General features: G+C 46.3%; 1 pseudogene, besides 2 other annotated features; it reads right to left on the reverse strand.

The window, feature by feature from the left end:
• On the reverse strand, positions 528-1,694 carry DNM1P49 (dynamin 1 pseudogene 49; annotated as a pseudogene).
• Positions 1,108-1,608: an enhancer, noted in NCBI's record as "H3K4me1 hESC enhancer chr15:76084438-76084938 (GRCh37/hg19 assembly coordinates)". NCBI's record gives its function as "activates a minimal SCP1, AML or CMV promoter by ChIP-STARR-seq in naive H9 embryonic stem cells {active_cell/tissue: H9 hESC(naive)}" and the evidence as "EXISTENCE:reporter gene assay evidence [ECO:0000049][PMID:30033119]".
• Positions 1,609-2,109: an enhancer, noted in NCBI's record as "H3K4me1 hESC enhancer chr15:76084939-76085439 (GRCh37/hg19 assembly coordinates)". NCBI's record gives its function as "activates a minimal SCP1, AML or CMV promoter by ChIP-STARR-seq in naive H9 embryonic stem cells {active_cell/tissue: H9 hESC(naive)}" and the evidence as "EXISTENCE:reporter gene assay evidence [ECO:0000049][PMID:30033119]".

Genomic DNA, 20,865 nt, shown 5'->3' on the forward strand with positions numbered 1-20,865 from the left:
ATTTGGGGCTGGGAAACTTACTTATTGATAGCATAGGACAGAGGAAGGAGGCGGGGATGGGGTCCTGGCTGCCTTGGTGATGTGACTCCTGCCTGGCCTGTGAGGTGTGTTGTGGGATGACCATGTGTATGGGACTGTCAAGATTTTATCCTAGATCACTACTGGATTGCCAACAGATAGAGGAGGTGGGACCCTGACTATCACCCCTGCTCTGCAGTGGATTTGGCTCTCGGCACTCCCAGACTGGGAGCTGGATACCCTGACCTGGCAGCATGACTCAGACTGCACGACAGATACGGCGTGCCCAGGATGACGTTCCTAGGCCTCTGGCAGACTCAGATTCCAGCCCCACACACAATGCCCTCCAAGTTCCAGCCCCTACACCATGAACCACGAGCTCTCTGCCCTCTCTGACAGCTCCAGAGAGCACCCACGTCTGCCACCTTGGGCATGGAGCCTGTTCCAAGATCCCACAGGCTCAGCCATGGAGGCTGGGGCGCTTTGGGGCCATGGGGGCCAGCCCTGGTACCTGCGTCGGGCTGGGACGCTCTGCACTTACAGCCAGGAGTCATCCATGGGCCCCCGTGGGCATGCTGACCATGGTTGTTTTGATGTCGCCGATGATGTTGGGCGCCTCCCTCAGCACATGGTGCATGCACAGCGTCTCGTTGCACCATTTTGCCTGCTCCGTGGAATCCTCCATCAGCATGTTCTCGTCTCCACATGAGTACAGTTTGGCCAGCAGCTCTGAGAAGATGAACTCCTTGGTCTGAGAATGGGCAAAGAAGGAAGGAGGTTGGGACCTGATGCCTGTGTCACCCTGGCCACCCCACCAGGCCCTGCTGGGACTGTGGAATGGACTTGGAGCCCCAAGCATGGCTTTTCAGACGTGGCTTCTACACCACTTAGACTCAAAGACCCACCTATCCACCGCCTTTTTTTCACTCAGATGGGGACACTGAGGTCCAGAGGAAAAGTCAAGTCACCAGTCCAGGGTCACAGATCTGGGAGGGGACCCAGGACCTATCATGCCACCAGGACACCTGTCTACTCAGTTTTTAATTTTTGGAGATAGGATCTCTCTCTGTCGCTAGGCTGGAGTACAGTGGGCAAGATCACTGCTCACGGCAGCCTCAACCTCTTGGGCTCAAAGTCATCCTCCAAGGCTAGCCTGTTGAGTAGCTAGGACTACAGGCACGTGCCACCACCAGGCCCAGCTATTTTAAAATTTTTTTTGTAGAGACCAGGTCTCACTATGTTGCCCAGGCTGGTCTCAAACTCCTGGGCTCAAGCGATCCTTCCGCCTTGGCCTCCCAAAGTGCTGGGATTATAGGCATGGGCCACTGTGCCCAGTCCCACGTTATAGTTCTATGGGACAGCTCTGGTCTGGACCGTGACCCTCTCCCTGCACCTGGTCCCACAGGGCTGGTTGTCATCTCTGCCAGGCCAACACAGCCACCTGTGTCCCCAGTGCTACAGGAGCCCCTGCCCCCATGAGGTGGTGCATGCATGTTGTTGATCATGAGGTGCATGGTGGTCTTGGGCGTGAGACCAACCATGAGGTCCCACACGGTCTTGTTGACAATGGCCACATAGGAGTCCACCAGGCTCTGAGTGGTCTCCATTTGCCACACCAGCTGTGGGTCCATGGAGTGCATGAAGCTGTCGGAGCCATTCTCCTCGGCCTTGCTGGCCTGCCATGGAGAACACAAAGGCATCACGGTGGCCAGGACATGCAGCCAGGCTCCAGGATCTCAGCCCTTCCAAGGGTACCTGGAACATTGAGGCACAGGGAGAAGCAACTGGCCAGAACACACACCCAGATCCCCACATGCTCTAGAGGGTTTCAGGTCTCTGCCTCTCAGGACCCCAGATGCCCCTGATCAAGCCTCATCTTAGTTCTGACTCTAGTACCCAGAATTTGCCTCCATTTCCCAATCCAGAAATTGGAAAAGAACATCTCCAGGTCCCTCGCTTGAAGACATGGCCAGAGCTGGTGCCAGGCTACAGATGCCTGGCAGGAGGAGAGAAGGGCATACTCACTTTCCCCTTGTCCTGGGAGGCCCACACACCAACATTGCCACCACCGCTGCCACCTGGGAGCACAGCCAAAGTAGACACACACAGGAAAAGGGGAAGGGTTGAGTGAAGCTGGGACACTGCACCCCAAATTTAACGTGTTGATGAATTCAATTTGCTAATATTTTGTGGAGGATTTTTGCATCAATATTCATTAGTGATATTGGCCTGTAGTTCTCTGTTTTGGATGTATCTTTGGTTTTGGTTTCAGGGTAATACTAGCCTTGTGGAATGAGTCTGAAATAGTTGGGTAAGGTCTCTATTTTTTGAATAGCTTGGGTAAGGTTGGCATGAGTTCTTTAAATGTTTGGTAGAATTCAGCAATGAAGCACCAAGTCCCAGGCTTTTCTTTACTGGGAGACTTTTTATTACTGCTTTGATCTCATTATTTCTTATTGGTCTGTTCAGGTTTTGGATTTCATCACGGTTCAATCTTGGCAGGCTGGATGTGTCTACAAATTTATCCATTTTTAGTAAGTTTTCCTATTTCTTTGCATACAGTTGTTTATTATTATTATTATTATTATTATTATTATTATTATTATTTTTGAGATAGAGTCTTGCTCTATCTCGGCTGGCATGTGGTGCCATGATCTCAGCTCACTGCAACCTCCGCCTCCTGGGTTCAAGCGATTCTTCTGCCTCAGCCTCCCAAGTAGCTGGGATTACAGGTTGTGCAACCACACCCAGCTAATTTTTTTGTATTTTTAGTAGAGACGGGTTTCACCATGTTGGTCAGGCTGGTCTCAAACTCCTGACCTCGTGATTCACCTACCTCAGCCTCCCAAAGTGCTGGGATTACAGGCGTGAGCCACCACACCCGGCCTTGCATGCAGTTGCTTTTTAATAGCCACTAGTGATCCTGTGAATTTTTGCGTTATCAGTTGTAATGTTTTCCTTTTTCATCTTTGATTTTATTCACTTGAGTCTTCTTTTTTTCTTAGTCTTAGGCTTAAAGTTTGTCAATGTTGTTTATCTTTTCCAAAAACCAACTTTTTATTTCATTGATGCTTTTTATTGTTTTCTTCATTTTAATTCCATTTATTTCTGCTCTGATCTTTATTATTTCTTTTCTTCTACTAATTTTGGGTTTGGTTTGCTCTTGCTTTTCTATTTCTTTAAGATGTATTGTTAGGTTGTTTATTTGATGCTTTTCTGCTTTTTAAAAGTAGGTGTTTATAGCCATAAAGTTCCCTCTTAGTATTGCTTTTGTCGAATCTCATAGGTTTTGGCATGTTGTGTTTCCATTATCATTTAAGAAATGTTTCAATTTCCTTCTTAATTTCTTCATTGACCCACTGGTCATTCCAGAGCATATTATTTAATCTCCATGTGTTTGTGTAGTTTCCAACATTTCTCTTGTTACTAACTTCCAGTTTTATTCCATTGTGATCAGAGAAGATGTTTGATATTATTTCATTTTTTTCCTAATATTTTAAGACGTATTGTGTGATTTAAGATATGGTCTATCCTTGAGAATGATCCATGTGCTGAGGAAAAAAATGTGTATTCTGTAGCCCAAGGGAGAAGACACCCACCCTCACTCTGCTGCAACAGCACTCTTCTCAGGGATGGGGCAGTGGAGTGCTGTTGTTACACAAGGGGCTCTCTGTCGGGGAGGGAACAGAAGTCTGTTCTGTAGTGTTTGCCATTTTCGGTGGTGCAAATATTCCATGGCTGATTTCAAGCTGCCACCATCTTCTCAGCCTGGGCTTGTTTGTCCCACCCTTGAGAAGGCTTTCCAGGTATTTGAAAGGATGCGGGTGTTGTGATCTAAACTGTATCTTTATTAGGGGACACTCCAAGCCCAGTTATGCTATGGTTCTTGCAGACTCATAGAGGAACTACCTTGGTGGTCCCGGATAAGATCTGGAAGAATTTTCTGAGCTACCAGGCATTAGAGACTCTTATTCTCTACCTGTAATTTCTTTCTAAAAAACAGTCTCTGACTCTGTCTCTCTGTCTCTGTCTCTCTCTCTGCGGCCCCCCCCCATCTCTCTCTCTCTTTCTCTCTCTCTCTCTGCTGAGCCACTTGGAGCTGGGGGTGAGCTGACACAAAATCCCTATGGCCACCACCACTGGGACTGCACTGGGTCAGACCTAAAGCCAGCAAAGCACTGGGTCTCACTCAGGGCCCACTGTCAACACTACCTGGCTATTGCCTATGTTCACTCGAGGCCCTGGGGCTCTACTGTCAGCAGGTGTCAAAGCCAGCCAGGCTTGTGTCTTTCCCTTCAGGGCAACAAGTTCCCTTAGGCCCTAGCATGTCCAGAGATGCTGTCTGGGAGCCAGGGACTGCAGCCAAAAACCTTAGAAATTTACCTGGTGCTTTATTCTAAGGCGGCTGAGCAGACACCGAAACCATGAGACAAAGTCCTTCCCACTCTGTCTTTCCCCTTCCACAGGCAGAGGAGCCTCACCCTGTGGCCACCACCACAGGCGCACACGGAGTGCTGCCAGGCTACTGTCGATGTTCTCTTAGGGCCCAAGGGCTCTGAAGGCACTTGTGGTGAATGCTTCCAGGCCTGGGACTCACCCTTCAGGGCAGTGGGCTCCCCTCTGGCCTAGGACGGGCCCAGAAATGCTGTCTAATAGCCAAGGCCTAAAATCAGTGACCACAAGAGCCCATTTGGTGCTCTACCCCATTGTGGCCAGGCAGGTACGTAAGCTGCAAAACAAAGTCCCTTTTACCTTTCCCTCTGCTTTTCTCAAGCAGAAGAAGTCTCTCACCACAGCCACCATAGCTGGGAATGTGCTGGGTCTCACCTGAAGCCAGCACGTCGCAGAGCCTTACTCCAGGCCCATAGCACACTGCCTGGGTATCACTGTTGTTGGCTATTCAGGGCCCAAGGTTCTTGAGTCAGCAGGTGATGAATCCTGCCAGGATTGGGTTGTTTCCTTTAGGGCAGAAGATTCCCTTCTAGCCCAGGGTGTATCTAGAAAGGTAATTCAGGAGCTAGGTCCTGGAATGGGGGCCTCTCAATTCTGACTGGTGCTCTGTCCTACTGTGGCTGAGTTGCTATCCAAGATGTAAGACAAAGTCCTCTTTGCTTTTCCCCCTTCTCTCCTCGAGCAAAAGGAAGAAGTCACTTTAGTTGTTGCAAGCTGCGTTGCCTGGGGTTGGGGGAGCGGTGGTGCAAACACTCCCTTGGCTGTCCTGGCTGGTGTCTCTCTAGGTCGTGTGCCCCCTGAGTCCACTGGCTCTGAGCCCAGCATGGCATTAGGATGTGCCTAGGAGTTGAAGTCCTGATGGACTAGACTGCCTTTCAAGTTTATTTAGGGCCCCAGGGCATAACAGCCTGCCATGCCAAGGCTTGTCAAAACCCAAGCCTCAAGCCTTCTAACTACTGGGATGGGTGAACCCCTCTGGGTAGGGCTGGTCTAAATGCTTCCTCCATGGGCAGGTGTCACGTGAGTTCCACCTGGTTTTGCTTTCTGCTGTGACAGGACAGCAATGAGTTCAAGGCAAAGTCCCACAGTTGCTGTATTCTCCCTCCCCCAGGTGCACAGATTCTCAGCACCACAGTGACCACTGCTGGGGGAGGGGGAGGGGTGATATTGGTGTTTCAAGGCTGTCTCTCCCACCCTCTTCAATGCCTCTTTCAGCAACATGAAGTTAAACCCAGGTACTGTGAGTCCTCGCCTGATTTTTGGTTCTTATGATGATGGTTTTCTGGTGAAGACAGTCGTTAAATTTGATTTTCCTGCAGGGGGAATGATTGGTAGAGACTATTATTCAGCCATCTTGCTCTGCCCCTCCTCCCTCACTTCACTTTAATTACCTCCTAATAGCCCTATTTTTAAATACAATCATATAGTGGGTTAGGGCTCCAGTGTATGAATTTTGAGGAGACACAATTCAGTCTATAGCATTTGGACTTGGGAAGAGGGAGGAAAAGAACACGCACAGGAAAGTCACAGTGTAAGCAACAGTATGGAGGTGGGGAAGTTCAGCTCATGGATAGGAAAAATTGATCCAATTAGGCAGGGCCCACAGGGAGATATGGTGCGGTGGTGAGAGGTGGCCACATCAGAAAGAACCTTGAATGCCAGGCTGAGATGGGAGGCATTTCCTGTTGTGTAGAAGGTACCATGAGGTGATGGGTAGGGTAACATGATGAAAGGACATTTGGGAGGATGGATCTGGCATCAGTGATGGGTAGGGGTGAGGAGTGAACAAATCTGGAGGCCAGGAAACTGGACACATGGCCCAGAGTTCAGGCCCAGAGTTAGGCTGTTCAAAGGCAGTTTCCACACTGAGTTCCCATGTGGATCCAAGCATGCAGGGGGAGATGATTTGGAAAAGCAAAAGCATTCTCTTCCCATTACCACACAGTTTCCCAGCTGAGCTCATCACCAGAGTCCTACAAATCAGACAGTCAAACTACCCCAAACTCTGTCCCTAGAAGCTGTGACCCAGAGGGAGCCCTTGTCCAGCTGTAGCCCAGGGACACCGCAGCCTGAGCAGGACTGCACCTGTTCCCCCCCAGGAGCCTCATCTCTGTCTGGCCTGGCTTTGGCTTCCAATGCCCTCAGCTTTGGCTTCAGAATCTGTTGGGTCAGATTCATGAGAGCTCTGGCCTTCTTCGGTTTAGGGATTTTTAAATAGTTTTTTCAAGCAGGCAGTAGATGAGCTCTGCTTGCTTACCTCTAAGAATTGGCTAGAACTCACAGAAGGCTGTTATACTCATAGTTACAGCTTGATTACATGGAAAGGATACAGATTAAAATCAGGGAAGAAAGGTATAGGGCTGAGTCCAGGAGGGCACCAGGCATGGAGTGTCCATTATCCCTTCCCCATGCAATCAGAGTGCATTACCCTCCCGGCTTTGCTATGTGCCAATACACATGAAGTATTCCCAGCCAATGAGGCTCCCTCAAGCCTCAGTGTTCTGGGTTTTTACTGGAACTTCATCACAGAGGCATGCTTGATTGTCCATGTGGCTGCGCTCAGTTTCCAGTCTCCAGTACTTCCAGGAGTGACCTAAAGCCCAGACTCTAAATCACATAGTTGCTTTTTTGCCCTGGCTAGTCCCTACCCTAAATCTTATTATTAGGCTGTCCATCATGAGCCAAGATCCCCAGGCAAAGATATTCCTATCAGGTATTACATGTTGACAGTTACCTCCCAGGAGTCTAGGACAAAGGCCAGATCTCTTTTTGGTCAAGGTTAATTTTTTTTCCTTATTTTTTAAAACTATACGACATGCCATCATTCTATTATTCAATCTTTCTATTTTATCTTCAAAATAACCCTAATTGGTGGGTAAGGATGTTTATTATTATAAACGAGATCTCGAAAGAAAAGACACTTGGGCAAAGTTGCACAGTCTATCTTTGACTCATGGTGCAATACTCTTTCCACTCTCTGAGAACACTGAGTCCTGTGAAGAAGGTGAAAGGAAGGTGTGTGCGTGTGTGTGCACGTCTGTGTTGGTGTGTGTAAATGTATATCTAATAAGTGTGTATAGATATGTGTATGTCTCTGTATTTGTGTTTGTGTATACATGTGGATGTCTGGGTGTCTATATGCATGTTTGTGTGTGTGTACACATGCTCATGGGGAAGGTTAAAGAGAAAATTGGCCCGGTGCGGTGGCTCATGCCTGTAATCCCAGCACTTTGGAAGGCTAAGGCGAGCAGATTGCCTGAAGTCAGGAGTTCGAGACCATTCTGGCCAACATGGTGAAACTCCATCTCTACTAAAAATGCAAAAAAATTATCTGGACGTGGTGGCATGCACCTGTAAACCCAGCTACTCAGGATTGCTTGAACCAGGGAGGTGAAGGTTGCAGTGAGACGAGATCGCACCACTGTACTCCAGCCTGGGCAACAGAGTGAGATTCCATCTCAAAAAGGAGAGAGAGAGAGTCAGCAGTGTGCAGTGATGCACATCTGTAATGCCAGCTACACAGGAGGTGGACGGAGGAGGATCACTTGAGCCCGGGAGTTTGAGAGAGAGAGAGAAAATTTCAATAATCTTGCAGTTAGAAGGAAAAACCTGGGGCTGAGCACAAAGAGACATAAAGCACAGCATAAAGAGGCAGAGAAATGTCTAATGAAAAGTGACAAAGAATTAATTAGTTCTTATATAAAGAAATATAGGACTTTAGCAGCAGGATAAAACTGGAATATAATTTCTTCTAGAATCCTGATAATCTTTGTGAGAAAACTGTTGGTCATATATGTTAATTGCCAAAACTTGCAGGACCCTATGCAATAGAACTAGCAAATAAAACCATCTTTCTGAAACTCACTATGCTACAAGCAGCATTCAACTCTTTCTCAACCAAGATTTCACTAACCTATCTCCAGCTTCCAGATGGTGAGGGAAAGTGTGATGAGATTTTATGATAAATTGTGCCTGTCTCTGAGTCCATCTCCTTCTATTGAAGAGAAGGAAAATGAGGTGAGCACATTACAGCCCTGCTGACAAAAGTCACAAGATAAGCAAATAATTATTACTTAAAACCAGGGAGTCCTATAATTTATTCATGAATGCCACACATTCTATATTAGATCTTCCATTTCAATTTACTTGTATTATTTGAAGCTAATTTATAAGATTCAAATTATTCAGAAAATGCTCCCACGTAAATAGAAGAAAACACTTTAACCAGAGGAAGTATCATGCTACACAATATGGTGTGGTGGTGAAGGGTGCAGGCTCTAAAACCAGAAAACACAGGTTCAAGTCCTGGCCTTACCACCTTGGGAAAGTTACATGGTCTCTCTGTGCCTCCATTTCCCCATCTAAAATGTGGGGATGACAATAATAGTGTCTATTTCACAGAGCAGTTTTGAGGAAAATAATATATGTAAAGCACTGTGAACAGCAGTTAGTGCTATGTAAGTGTTTGCTCTAGTTATTTTAACATTTCAGATGATAAATATCTACCCTGTTATTCAGATGACAAGCGTCCCTAAGCTGATAACATGATGAAGAGCTTTTGGGTTTCTTAATTTCCATCAGTTTTGTGAGGGAAAAAATACCACATGAAGAAGAGCAACTGAAGCAGGCGTGAGGAGGAAACTTGGCTTAAGATTGGGGGGCTTGGGGTTATTAGGCTTTCATCTTCTAAAATGTCCTAAGCTCCATTGATAAGAAGACACTTAGTATCAATCCAGCTAAAAAGGAACAATAGACCCCACAAGACACTGAGTTAGAGACAAAAATAGCAGGGTAATAAATGAAATATGGAAAACTACACAACCAGAAAAATAAACAGCTACCAGTACCCAAAACGTGGTTAAATCTCACAGGATTATATTGAATGAAAGAAGCCAGCCACAAACGTGCACATACTGAATGGTCCCATTTATATGAAGCTAAAGAACAGGCGAAACTAATCCATGGTTGCAGAGGTCAGGATCCTGGTTAACTTTGAGGGGACAGCAACTGAGAAGGGGCAAGAGGGAGCCCTCTGTGCTGATGGGAACATTCTGTATCTTGAACTGAGTGGCGGTCACATAAGTGTGCACATATGTAAATAGTAAGGAGTTGTAGCTTAAGGTATAGGCACCTCGCTGAATGTAAGATACTGTCTTAGTCCATGTGTGCTGCTGTAACAAAATATTTGAGACTGGGTAATGTGTAAAGAACAAAAATGTATTTCTCACAGTTCTGGTGGGTGGGAAGTCCAAGATCAAAGCGCCAGCAGGTTTGTAGTCTAGTGAGGGCTGCTCTCTGCTTCCAAGATGGCACCTTAAATGCTGAGACCTCCAGAGGTGAGGAATGCTGTGTCCCAGCATGGTGGAAAGAACAGAAAAGCAAAAGAAGAAAACCGAGCTGGGTAGCTCCCTCAAGCCCTTTCATAAGGTCACTAATCCCATTCACGAGGGGGCTCCTCCTTACAGCTTAGTCATCTCCTAAAGACTCCACCTCTTAATACTATCACATTGGGGTTTAAGTTCCAACATGAATTTTGGAGGAGACACAATCATTCCAACCATAGCAAATATACTTTACTAAGAAAGAAAAAAACATAGTCTCTAAATATGATATTTTAAGAGTTTATATATTTAAAGCTCAATTTTCTGCTTGCTTACATACATATTTGTGACCATGAGTGTCATTCTTGGCTGAGAAACATTTCAGTAAATTTTAAAAAGTCTCACATTATCTATTAATATCTTATTCAGATAAGATCAAATTTCTAACCTACATTTTAGGTTGAGACAGAAACCCAGTCATTTGTTGCAATGTGAGAATGACAGAGAGATAGTAACTAGCAGAATCCAACTATAAAACTAAATTTAAGGGCACAATTCTCTACTAATCACTCCCCCAGACAAATCATTACTTGGATAGCAATGAATCAACTAAAAATGGAAGTGAGAAAAGTTCGAGTCCTTTTTGCGATGGATGGATGCTTATGAGACTATTAAGTGAAGGGGGTTCGGAAATAAGGGGATAAATGGCATACTAATTTGAGGTTGAATGGAGTAATGAGATGACCTTGGAAATATAAGAATCCTGCTTAATGGGGCTTGTCTACTTGCAATTCGATAAACTAATATACGTAAATTCAAGGAGATAAAGGACATGAGCACTCAGCACAAAATTACAGGAATAGATTTAGCAAAGAGGAACCAAAGTTGAGATAAGGGCCACTGTTCCAGGTCTGACATCTTTAATTCTTGAGTCATGGGGATGGTAAACCAGAGAACAGAGTCTTCCGACTGGAAGCTAAAACCAGCCTTTGGGGTGGGTTCAGAGAGCCTGTTCAGACTCAAGATGCGAAAACAGATGTTGCATGGTCGAAAACATCCCGAGTGCAAGGGCATTTTCAAAGACAGCGGTGCTCAGGGAAAAAGAATACTGTGTGTTTAAAAAGAAAAAAAATTAAAAGAAAGAATGGAAACAAGGAGGAAAAAGTGACCGGAGTGTAGGGTGACCATACGTTCTGGTTTGCAAGGTACAGCTAATGTTATGTCTGCTGTCCTGGTACAATTATTATAGTGCCCCCTTTCACTCTCCGAAGTGTCTTGATTTGGATGATAAAGCATATGATCACCCTATTAAAGAGAGGAAATTAGCCAGAAGACCTTTGTGTCGATTTTAAACGGTGTGGACTGATCCGCAGTCGCGCTCTTGCCGCTGCCCAGCTGAGCAGCGTGCACCACCTCTGCGTCGCCCTACCCCGCCCTGCCTGGGTCTCCAGGAAGGTTGGAGCGGAACCCGCGCTGCTCTGGTGCCACCTGCAGGTTATATGGGGGAACTGCTTCTCTCCACCCCACTACCCACCACCCCACATCCCCACCGCCACCTTGGACAGCCTTGGACTTGGCCAAAAGACATTAAGAGCACGCGAAGCCCTGGCTGGGGAGTGGGCTGGACCCTGCAGTGAAGCCCGCGTTACAGAATCAGACGGTCCCGGCTTAAGCCAACAAAGCCAAGCTCCTCTACTTCCTACCCACTCCTGGTCTTTCTCATTTTGTAGACAGGAAACTGAAGCCTAATTCAGATTTTTCATTGGTAGGATTGTGAAGCATACAGCGGGAGCCTCCCAGGTGCCATTCCCCACATCTCTGTCTTTCCGCTAACACTTTAGGGTAGTGGGGAGCTTAAGCTTACTAAGTTCCTACTGTGTACTGGCCAGAGTGGGCACTTTTATCTCCAGCCTCGCAATTGATGGGAAATAGGTGATTATACAACTAGGAGACAGGATCAGAGTGGGCTAGCGATGTGCTCACAGTCTCTCAGCTGAAACTGGAACCCAGGGGTCTTTGATTCTAAAGCTAGTGCTCTTTTTGGGTCTCCAGCTTGAGTAATAGTTGTAAAATACAAAGAGCACCATGAAAATCTAATATCAATCCATATAAGACTGTATTGCAAACAGAAACATAGAGTGTCTTCGTGGGAGTGATGGGGAGGGGGGAGATTACCTCAATTCTATGTAACCTGGAAACTCTCCGAGGAAAATGAATGAAGCATGACCAAGTGCAATTTGTCTGATAAAATCTGTCAGAACGTGGGGCCTTGTGTGTCCTGGGTAGTGAAGATGAGAAATCATGGTGCTGGACATTTGCTAAGGTGTTCCTTATGAAATCACTCAGGGCCTCAGTGCCTCCACTCTCTCCATGACCCCAGGCAGTTTCCCCATCTGTCTTCATCCTACTGCCTGGCACACTATCCATCAAACTGTTTTTAGAGTTATGTCTCGATAAAATAAAAATCATGGTGGGAGTCATTTACACCCTAGTGAGAGTCATCTAAGATTCCCTTATCTTTTCAGACCTTTTAGCTGAAGTTGGTTATGAGAGAGGATGGGGAGGGGGAAAAGGGTTGGGGCAAGCACTTGGAGCTTGCACTGTTTCTTGCCGGTGCCCTGGCACAGTGTGAATATGTCCATCTAAATGGAGAGCTCTATGCATGTTCCTCTCTACTCCCTTTGTCACTAATACCAGTTCCCAAGGCAGAGCCCCAGGAGGGCTGGACTGAAGGACCTGGAGGTAATAGCAAACGCTTGGCTTTGGGTTTCAGGTCAAGCTCTGCCAGTGACTTGCTGTGTAAGAGGAGACAAGTCAGTTCACCTCTCTACACTTCAGTGACCTCATCTGTAAAAGACTGGTCTGGACTAGATTAATGATTTTCTTATTTATTTTATTATTATTATTATTTTTGAGATGGAGACTTGCTCTGTCGCCCAGGCTGGAGTGGAGTGCAGTGGTACAATCTCGGCTCACGGCAACCTCTGCCTCCCAGGTTCAAGAGATTCTCCTGTCTCACCCTCCCAAGTAGCTGGAACTACAGGTGCCTGCCACCACACCCGGCTAATTTTTGTATTTTTAGTAGAGATGTGGTTTCACCATATTAGTCAGGCTGGTCTTGAACTCCTGACCTCAGGTGATCCACCTGCATCAGCCTCCCAAAGTGCTGGGATTACAGGTGTGAGCCACTGTGCCCAGCCTAATGATTTTCTTTAGGTTTTGCAATTGTTTTTTGTTTTAACATTATACTCAATTCTTCCTCCAGCATTATTAAGGTATAATTGATAAATAAAAATTGTATATAGTTACAGTATTCAATGTGGTGTTTTGATATATGCATACATTATAAAATTATTAAATCAAGTTAATTAACATTTCCATCACCTCACAACTTATTATTATTATTATTATTGTGGTAAGAACATTTAAGATGTATTTGCTTAGAATAGTGTTTACTAGCAGTGAGGAAAGTTAAGCGGGAGAGAGTAGCCAAAGGCTGGCTAACAGGTTAACAGATACAAGAGTACATGGCTGGGCCGGGCGCGGTGGCTCATGCCTGTAATCCCAGCACTTTGGGAGGCCAAGGCGGACCACCTGAGGGCAGGAGTTCGAGACCAGCCTGGCCAACACGGTGAAACCCCGTCTCTATGAAAAATACAAAAATTAGCTGGGCATGGTGGCTCATGCCTGTAATCCCAGGTACTTGAGAGGCTGAGGCATGAAAACAGGAGGCAGAGGTTGCAGTGAGCCAAGATCATGCCACTTCACTCCACCACCCTGGGAGATAGAGTGAGACTCTGTCAAAAAAAAAAAAAAGTACATGGCTGAGTTTGGTGGCTCATGCCTATCATCCCAGCACTTTGGGAGGCTGAGGTGGGAGGATCACTTGAACCCAGGAGTTTGAGAGCAGCCTGGGGAACATAGGGAGATTCCCATCTCTGCAAAAAATTTAAAAATTCGCCATGCACTTTTAGCTACTCCGGAGGGCTACAGAGGTCAAGGCTGCAGTGAGCTGTGATTGCACCACTGCACTCCAGCCTAGGGGACAGAGTGAGACCCTGTCCGAAAAAAAAAAAAAGAATACAGCTAGATAGGAGGAATAGTTCTAGTTTCTTTAGCACTATAGGGTGACTATAATTTATGACAATTTATTATATATTTTCAAATAGCTAGAAGAGTGGATTTTGAATGGTCCCAGAACAAAGAAATGATAAATATTTGAGGTGGTGGAGACGCTAATACCCTGATTTGATCATTATACATTACATACATATATAAAAATATTATACTGTACCCCATAAACAAGTACAATTATTATGTATCAAATAAAAATAATAATAAAAGCAAAAAATCTACTCTCTCAGCAATTTTAAAGTATACATTATTATTAACTATAGTCATCATGCTGTACAACAGATCTCCAGAATTTATAAGATTCTATTTAATTCCATTCAAAGTACTACATACATAGAGTTAAGAACAAAATGGTATCTGGAGCAAGAAATCCTCGGTAAAACAAAAAAAGAAGAAAAAAAGAACAAAATGGTAATAAAAGGCTTATATCAAAAAGCATTTCCTCTGCCCTTTCCTTTCTTGCATTGAGTCCTAAATCCCAGAGGCCATCACTTTAAACTCATTTTGCTATTTCCTCTGGTATTTATCATCATATTTCTAAATAATGTTTATGTTGCTATTTCTTGATTTGTTTTCTTCAGTATCTGTCTACCTCCTGGCATAGCTCAGTATAGGGCTTACCTCCCTTATGAGGTCTTAACAATTTCCTTGCTTCCAATCTACCAGTCTGATTGGATCATAGTCTTATGAAATCCAAAGCATTTCCATTATTGTAGGTATCTAAATATTGTTCCCTAACCCAACTCCTGCACTGAAATTGTCTAATTTCTTTCCTTTTTTTCCCTCAGAGTTAATAATTGCTTTGTATTTTTTTCCTTCATTTGCTTATATGTTTTTGTACCTATTACCTACCTTTTTTTTTTTTTTGAGACAGAGTCTCACTCTGTCATCCAGGCTGGAGTACAGTGGCACAATCTCAGCTCACTGCAACCTCCAAGTCCTGGATGCAAGCAATTCTCCTGCCTCAGCTTCCTAAGTAGCTGGGACTACAGGCGCATACCACCACGCCTGGCTAACTTTTGTATTTTTTAGTAGAGACGGAGTTTCACCATATTGGCCAGGCTGGTCTCAAACTCCTGACCTCTTGATCTGCCCACCTCAGCCTCCCAAAGTGCTGGGATTACAAGTGTGAGTCACCGCTTCTGGCCCACCTACTATTTTATTTTCAGATGCTCCAACTGATTTATCAAATGCCTAGTGATAATGATCCAAAAACTAAGAAACACCAGATACTGTATCAGACCTGTTATTTTCCTGGAGGCTTCCCTTTCTCCCTTGCCCTCCATCCTTCTGCTCCAATCTGGACTCAGCTCTCAGCCCATGGCACATCTGGCATCCTGGCATGTCTCTGCACCATCGTGTGAATTTCCTCCTGCCTCTTCTGTTGCATCTCCTGTTCCTTGGCCCCAGATCTTCTTTTTTCCTGGTTTACTCTCTCACTGTGTTGCAGCACATTTTCCAGTGGCTTCCTGAGAAAGAGTGAATGGAAGCCAAGCTTTCTGACCCTCACACATTTTAGAATGTCATTGTTCTACCCCAACTCCTGATTACTAGTTTGGCTGGATGTAATGCTCTAATTTAAATGTAACTTCTCCTCACATTGGGAAATATTGCTCTATTATTTTCTAGTTCCCAGTGTTGTTGGGAATAAGTCCGTGTCATGCGGAGTCTTGGCTCTTTACATGTGACCTGTCTTTTCTCTCTGGAAGATTTTAGGGTTTTCTCTCTATCCTTAGTTTTCTGGAATTTCCCAATGCTGTGCCTTGCTGTAGGTCTTTCTTCATTCACTGTGCTAGTCACCTGGTAGACTCTTTTGAACTAGAAAATTATTTCCTTCTATTGTGGGAAGCCACCAGCAGGTTCGTGTGAGCTGGTTAATCACATTCTTTTCTTCCAAGGACGGAGGTATCAAGGCCCTGGGAACCTTATAAGTGGATGTGGGGAAAGGGGGCCTGAGGTGAATCCAACAAAGCTGCAGCACCCACTGAGCTCATGTCCCAGGGCTAGGCTCTGCCTGAGGACAGGAGACATGGGTGAGACCCACTTCCTGCCCAGTCCCATGGTGGGGCTCAGGACACACATGGTCCAGGAGGCCCCCAGCCCCAGCTACATTGACATGCACCTACCTGTATGCAGCGATCAGTGAGCCACAGGACAACTTAGGGGAAGGGGCAGCTCCAGAGTGCAGGATAGGAGGGAAGTAAATAATCATGGGGTGGGGAGTGGCCTTGTGGGGAAGGGGCAAAGGCAGGGCTGTGTGTGTGTGTGTGTGTGTGTGTGTGTGTGTGTGTTGTGTATTGGAGGAAATGGGGAGAGCATCTGTAGTTTTGTCTGCCCCCTTTTTTGGCCACTGCACCCCTTTCTTCGTGAATAGTTTTTCTTCTCTTCATGGACTGAGTGTCTCTGTCTCCTCCAAATTCATATGTTGAAGCCCTAACCCTCTGTATGGCTGCATTTGGAGATGAGGCCTCTCAGGAAATCATTAAGGTTAAATGAGGTCCTAAGGGTGGGGCCCTGATTCAGTAGGATTAGTGTCCTTATAAGACGAGACACCAGAGAGTGCACTCACTGTCTCTCTGCACAAATACAAAGAAGAGGTCACATGAGCACACAATATGGCAGCCACCTATGGGCCAAGAGAAGAGGCCTCAGAATGAAACCTACCTTGCTGGCACTTTGATCTTGGATTTCCCAGCCTCCAGAACTGTGAGAAATAAATGTCTGTGGTTTAAGCCACCCAGTCTGTGGTATTTTGGCATGGTACACTGAATTGACTAATACATCTCCCTGCCCTACTTCAACCACATGACACTAGAGGGGTCGGCAGTTTTAGAGTCCCAGCTACTCAGCCAACCCAGACCAGACCAAGCAGAAACTTTCTTCTGGAATTTTCTGAATAGGAACTAATAGAGGGGAGCCCCATCCTTTCCTCGGGGGCAAAGCCAGTAAGACAGAAGCCTCATGCTGCCAACAGCCTGACTCTAACCTCGTGGGGAGAGTTGCTCTGAGAGCACAAAACTGATCTGCAGACTGAGGTGGAGACAGAGACAAGGGAAGGAGCCTGCAAATCCTAACAGCGCTGGTGATTCTGAGTCCAGGTATTCCTGAGGCCCAGCTGTTCCCTGTCCTGCCCATGGCTAACTTACTGACCAATGAGCTTCCCTTCTTGCCTAAGCCAGTGAATTTTCTGTCACTCACATCCAAAGAGCCCGGACTGTAATGGCAGGGTATGGCAGGGCTGAGCTGGCTGGGGCAGAGGACGGTGTGGGTGGAATCAGCAGTGACAGGCACACAGGAAGTGCAGGTATCGAGTGGCCTCCATGAGGTCTCCCTCCAGCCCCGACTGTGAGCAAGGCTGGGCTCATACGCTCAGTAGGTCAGAGTGAGGGATTTGGTCAGAGGTGCCATGCTCAGGGCCATCTTTCTATGGGCCAGACTCTTCGTCATCAAAGGTTTTGCCATCAGAGACAGTTTTAGTCCTATCTTGGGTTCACTTGATCAATTGCTGTTCTCCTGCTTTCAGGATCTTTACACTAGGCTGCCCTACCTGGGGGTTAGGAAGCCATAGGCATCCTGGTCATAAGTCTGGACCCCAAAAAGGGCTTCTGCCAGCCTGCTAAGGGTTCCAGAGGGCAGGACTGAGGGGTGGTGGGAGGAGCCCAGCCTGGACGGCCGAGATATATATAGTGCTCTTGATTCATCTCTTGGAACTTTTCACCCATCAAGTTTAGGCTCCCAGTGGGGCACACATGGGAAAGACAATGCCCATGTCTTCAACTAGTTTCCCCATCAGAAGTGGTCATTGCACCAAGCACCCTCCTCCATTAAAACCGGACAGGCCAAGGGCCGCTTTCCTAATGGATGAGTCTTCTTGGTCTGTCTCATGTTCCCAACAGAGCTCCCTCCATGGGATGGGAAGGTGCCATCCCAGGGCCGCCGTTTTGACCCAGCCTCCAGCCAAAGCTGGTCCCCCTGCCAAGCAGGCCCTAGAGTTACACTGGAGAGTGACAAGCCTCATCTGAAGATTTCTTGCTGAAAATTGTCAGTTTCCTGCACAAGTACATCCTGGCAGTTTACACATTTATGCTTAGCGTTCCATTACTGGAACGCTAAGCTTGTGGAGTTATTTATATCCTACTGCTCAGTGTCATCGCCAAGGTCTGATTTTTCACAGAAAAACATTTGCAACCTCTGACATAATGAGTTAATTCAAATTAAACCCAGAAGGAGACTGCTGCTTCAGTCTCAACTGCTTGGAAATTGTGCTATGTAGAGCTTTCGTTTACTGAAAATTGTGCCTTCAGACTCTGTGCAGATTAACCTACTACATAGAGCAAGTACACACATAGGGCACCAACCAAGGACAAGTGTGTACCTGTGTGCACACACAAATAGAAAATCCAAAAATAAATATTTTAATTTCAGCTATCATGGAAGTTTTGTGTCATTTCTCCAAAAATGCCCATGTCAAATTTTATTTTATAATTTAGTCTTGTTTTTATTTAGAATTACTTAAGAAAAAGGGGAGCTGAGTGTGGTGGCTTATGCCTGTAATCCCAGCACTTTGGGAGGCTGAGGCAGAGGATTGCTTGAGCCCAAGAGTTTAAGATCATCCTGGGCAACTTGGTGAAACCCCATCTCTACAAAAAATACAAAAATTAGCCAGATGTGGTGGTATGTGCCTATGGTCCCAGCTGTGCAGGAGACTGAGGTGGGAGATTCATCTGAGTCTGGTAAGTTGACGCTGCAGTGAGCTGTGATCGCATCTTTGCACTCCAGCCTGATGACAGAGAGAAACTGTCTCAAAAAAAAAAAAAAAAAAAAAAAGGAAAAGGAAGAAAGAAAGGCAAAGAAAGAAAGAAAATGAAAGAAGAAAGAAAGAACGAATGAATGAAAGAAAGAAAGAAAGAAAAGAAAGAGAGGAGCTCTGCACAATAATTTTGCAGTGTCTTGGGTCTCTAAAGATCTTAATTAGGACCTAAACTCAGATTAGGCTGGGATCCTGGGCAGTGTGGCCCCAAATACAGTTATGGGAGGCCCTTCCAAGATAAGTCTAGACTGAGATAGAGTAGGTCTCAGGAGAGGGGCTGATATGCCCATGGTTCTCAACCTGGCTGCACCTGGAGAGCTTGGCATCACCTGGAGAGCTTGAAAACATTCTGATGCCCAAGCCCCACCCTAGAGATTCTGAGCTAATTGGTGGGGGATGGCCTGGGCACCAGGAATTTTCACAGCTCACCTGATGATGGCACTGTGCAGCCAGGGTAGAGAAATACTGACCTTTGCTTTCTCCACGTTGTGTCTGCCTTGGTTTTCCCATATTCCCCCAGGCTCCAGGATCTGAATGAACTACAGGAATTGAGAATTAGCCCTCCCACCCAGCCACTTTCTTCCCCTGCTGGGGAATCTTTGAGCCTTCATTTTGGCTATAGGCCTCGATATAACTCATCGGCCCAGGGATCGGGGCAGGAGTGGGGCTCCTGGCAGAGAGCAGAGTGTGGGCTTTGTAGTTACACAGACTTGCATTCAAGTCCCAGCTCTGTGATGTCAGAAGAAGATCTGATCCATAGTTGGTTACCCTGCGAAGTGGAGAAAGTGTCCGCCTAACCGGCAAGATCTCTTTGAGACTGAAATGAGAGAAAGCTGGGGCAACAAGTGAGTTCCTTCCGCGCCATTTCTGTGAGCTGGCCCTGTAGCTTCTCCTTGGTCCTTTGAGTTCTCAGCTTTAGCTCTCTTACTCCTGCTCCTTCTCCTCACTCTCTCTCTTTTCCACCCTGGATAAGTGCCCTGCTTCTCCCCACAGGTTAACCACCCTCCCCCGTACCCAGTGGGTGATGAAAGTCTTCCCTGGTTGTGCCAGCATCTCCCTGATACTTCCTTTCTCTCCTGCATTCAACCATGATGAAGCCCAGCACAGTCTCCCTCTCTTGTGCCCCATTTCCACCACAAGGTCACTGTCAGCTCTTACACAGACATCCCCAGTAGCTTCCACTTTGGCCTCTTCCAACCAGCCATTCTGGTATTGCAGCCATATTCATCTTTAAAAGCCCAATATTATTAAGTCACTCTCTTGCTAAATTCTGCAATGGCTTTGACTCACCCTTGGCCTGCAGGATCTGGCCCCTGCCTGCCTCTGCAGCCACCTTTTGCTTCATTCTTTCTCTCTTACTCCCTCTATCACCTCAGATCCCTGAGGGTTCCCTCCCTCCTACCTCAGGACCTTTGCACATGCTGTTCTCTCTGCCAGAAACACTTCTCTTTGACAGTGAATGCCTTCTCAAATATCCCTTATTTGGGGTGTTGACTACCCACCCCATCAGATTAGGTCCCTCACTATATGCTCTTATATCTCTTTATACTTTTTCAATTAAATAAATTTTGATCACGTGATTTATGGCCATCTCCCCTACTAGACTGTAAGCTCCATAACATCAAGGACCAGGCCAGTTTTTGTTCATCGTTGTAACCCAAATGCTTAGCACTGTGCCTGGCACAAACTAGGGGCCATTTGGACCAAGTGTCTAGGTTGTGTAGACTTGCAGCCCCTGTGGAAGTGTGTGGATAAACATGAGAAACAGGATGACTGCCTCCCCAGCATGGCTTGAGTGTTTCCTGGATGTGTCCAGGCGGGTATCACATGCTGGGTGGCATCAGAGGAGTGCCCTGTTTTCCTTTTATAAGAGAAGGAAAGGTTAGAGACTATGAACAGTCAGCTGTGGGATCATACAGTGTCTGCCCTGCTCCACTTGGCTCAAGGCCTCTGGGGAATGGGGATATGGGACAGGGACATGGCGCATGGTGCAAGTGGTTGTGGCAGCGAGCCTTATGGAGGAACAGCAGTGAGTCAGTCCCTTCTTGGCATGGGACGCTGCCTCTGCAGGCATAGGAGGCCATATTCCCCACTCTCACACCCAGTCAGTTGGGTGCTTCTAACTTGAGC

The sequence above is a fragment of the Homo sapiens genome, chromosome 15 (assembly GCF_000001405.40).
Source record: "Homo sapiens chromosome 15, GRCh38.p14 Primary Assembly".
Classification (NCBI taxonomy): domain Eukaryota; kingdom Metazoa; phylum Chordata; class Mammalia; order Primates; family Hominidae; genus Homo; species Homo sapiens.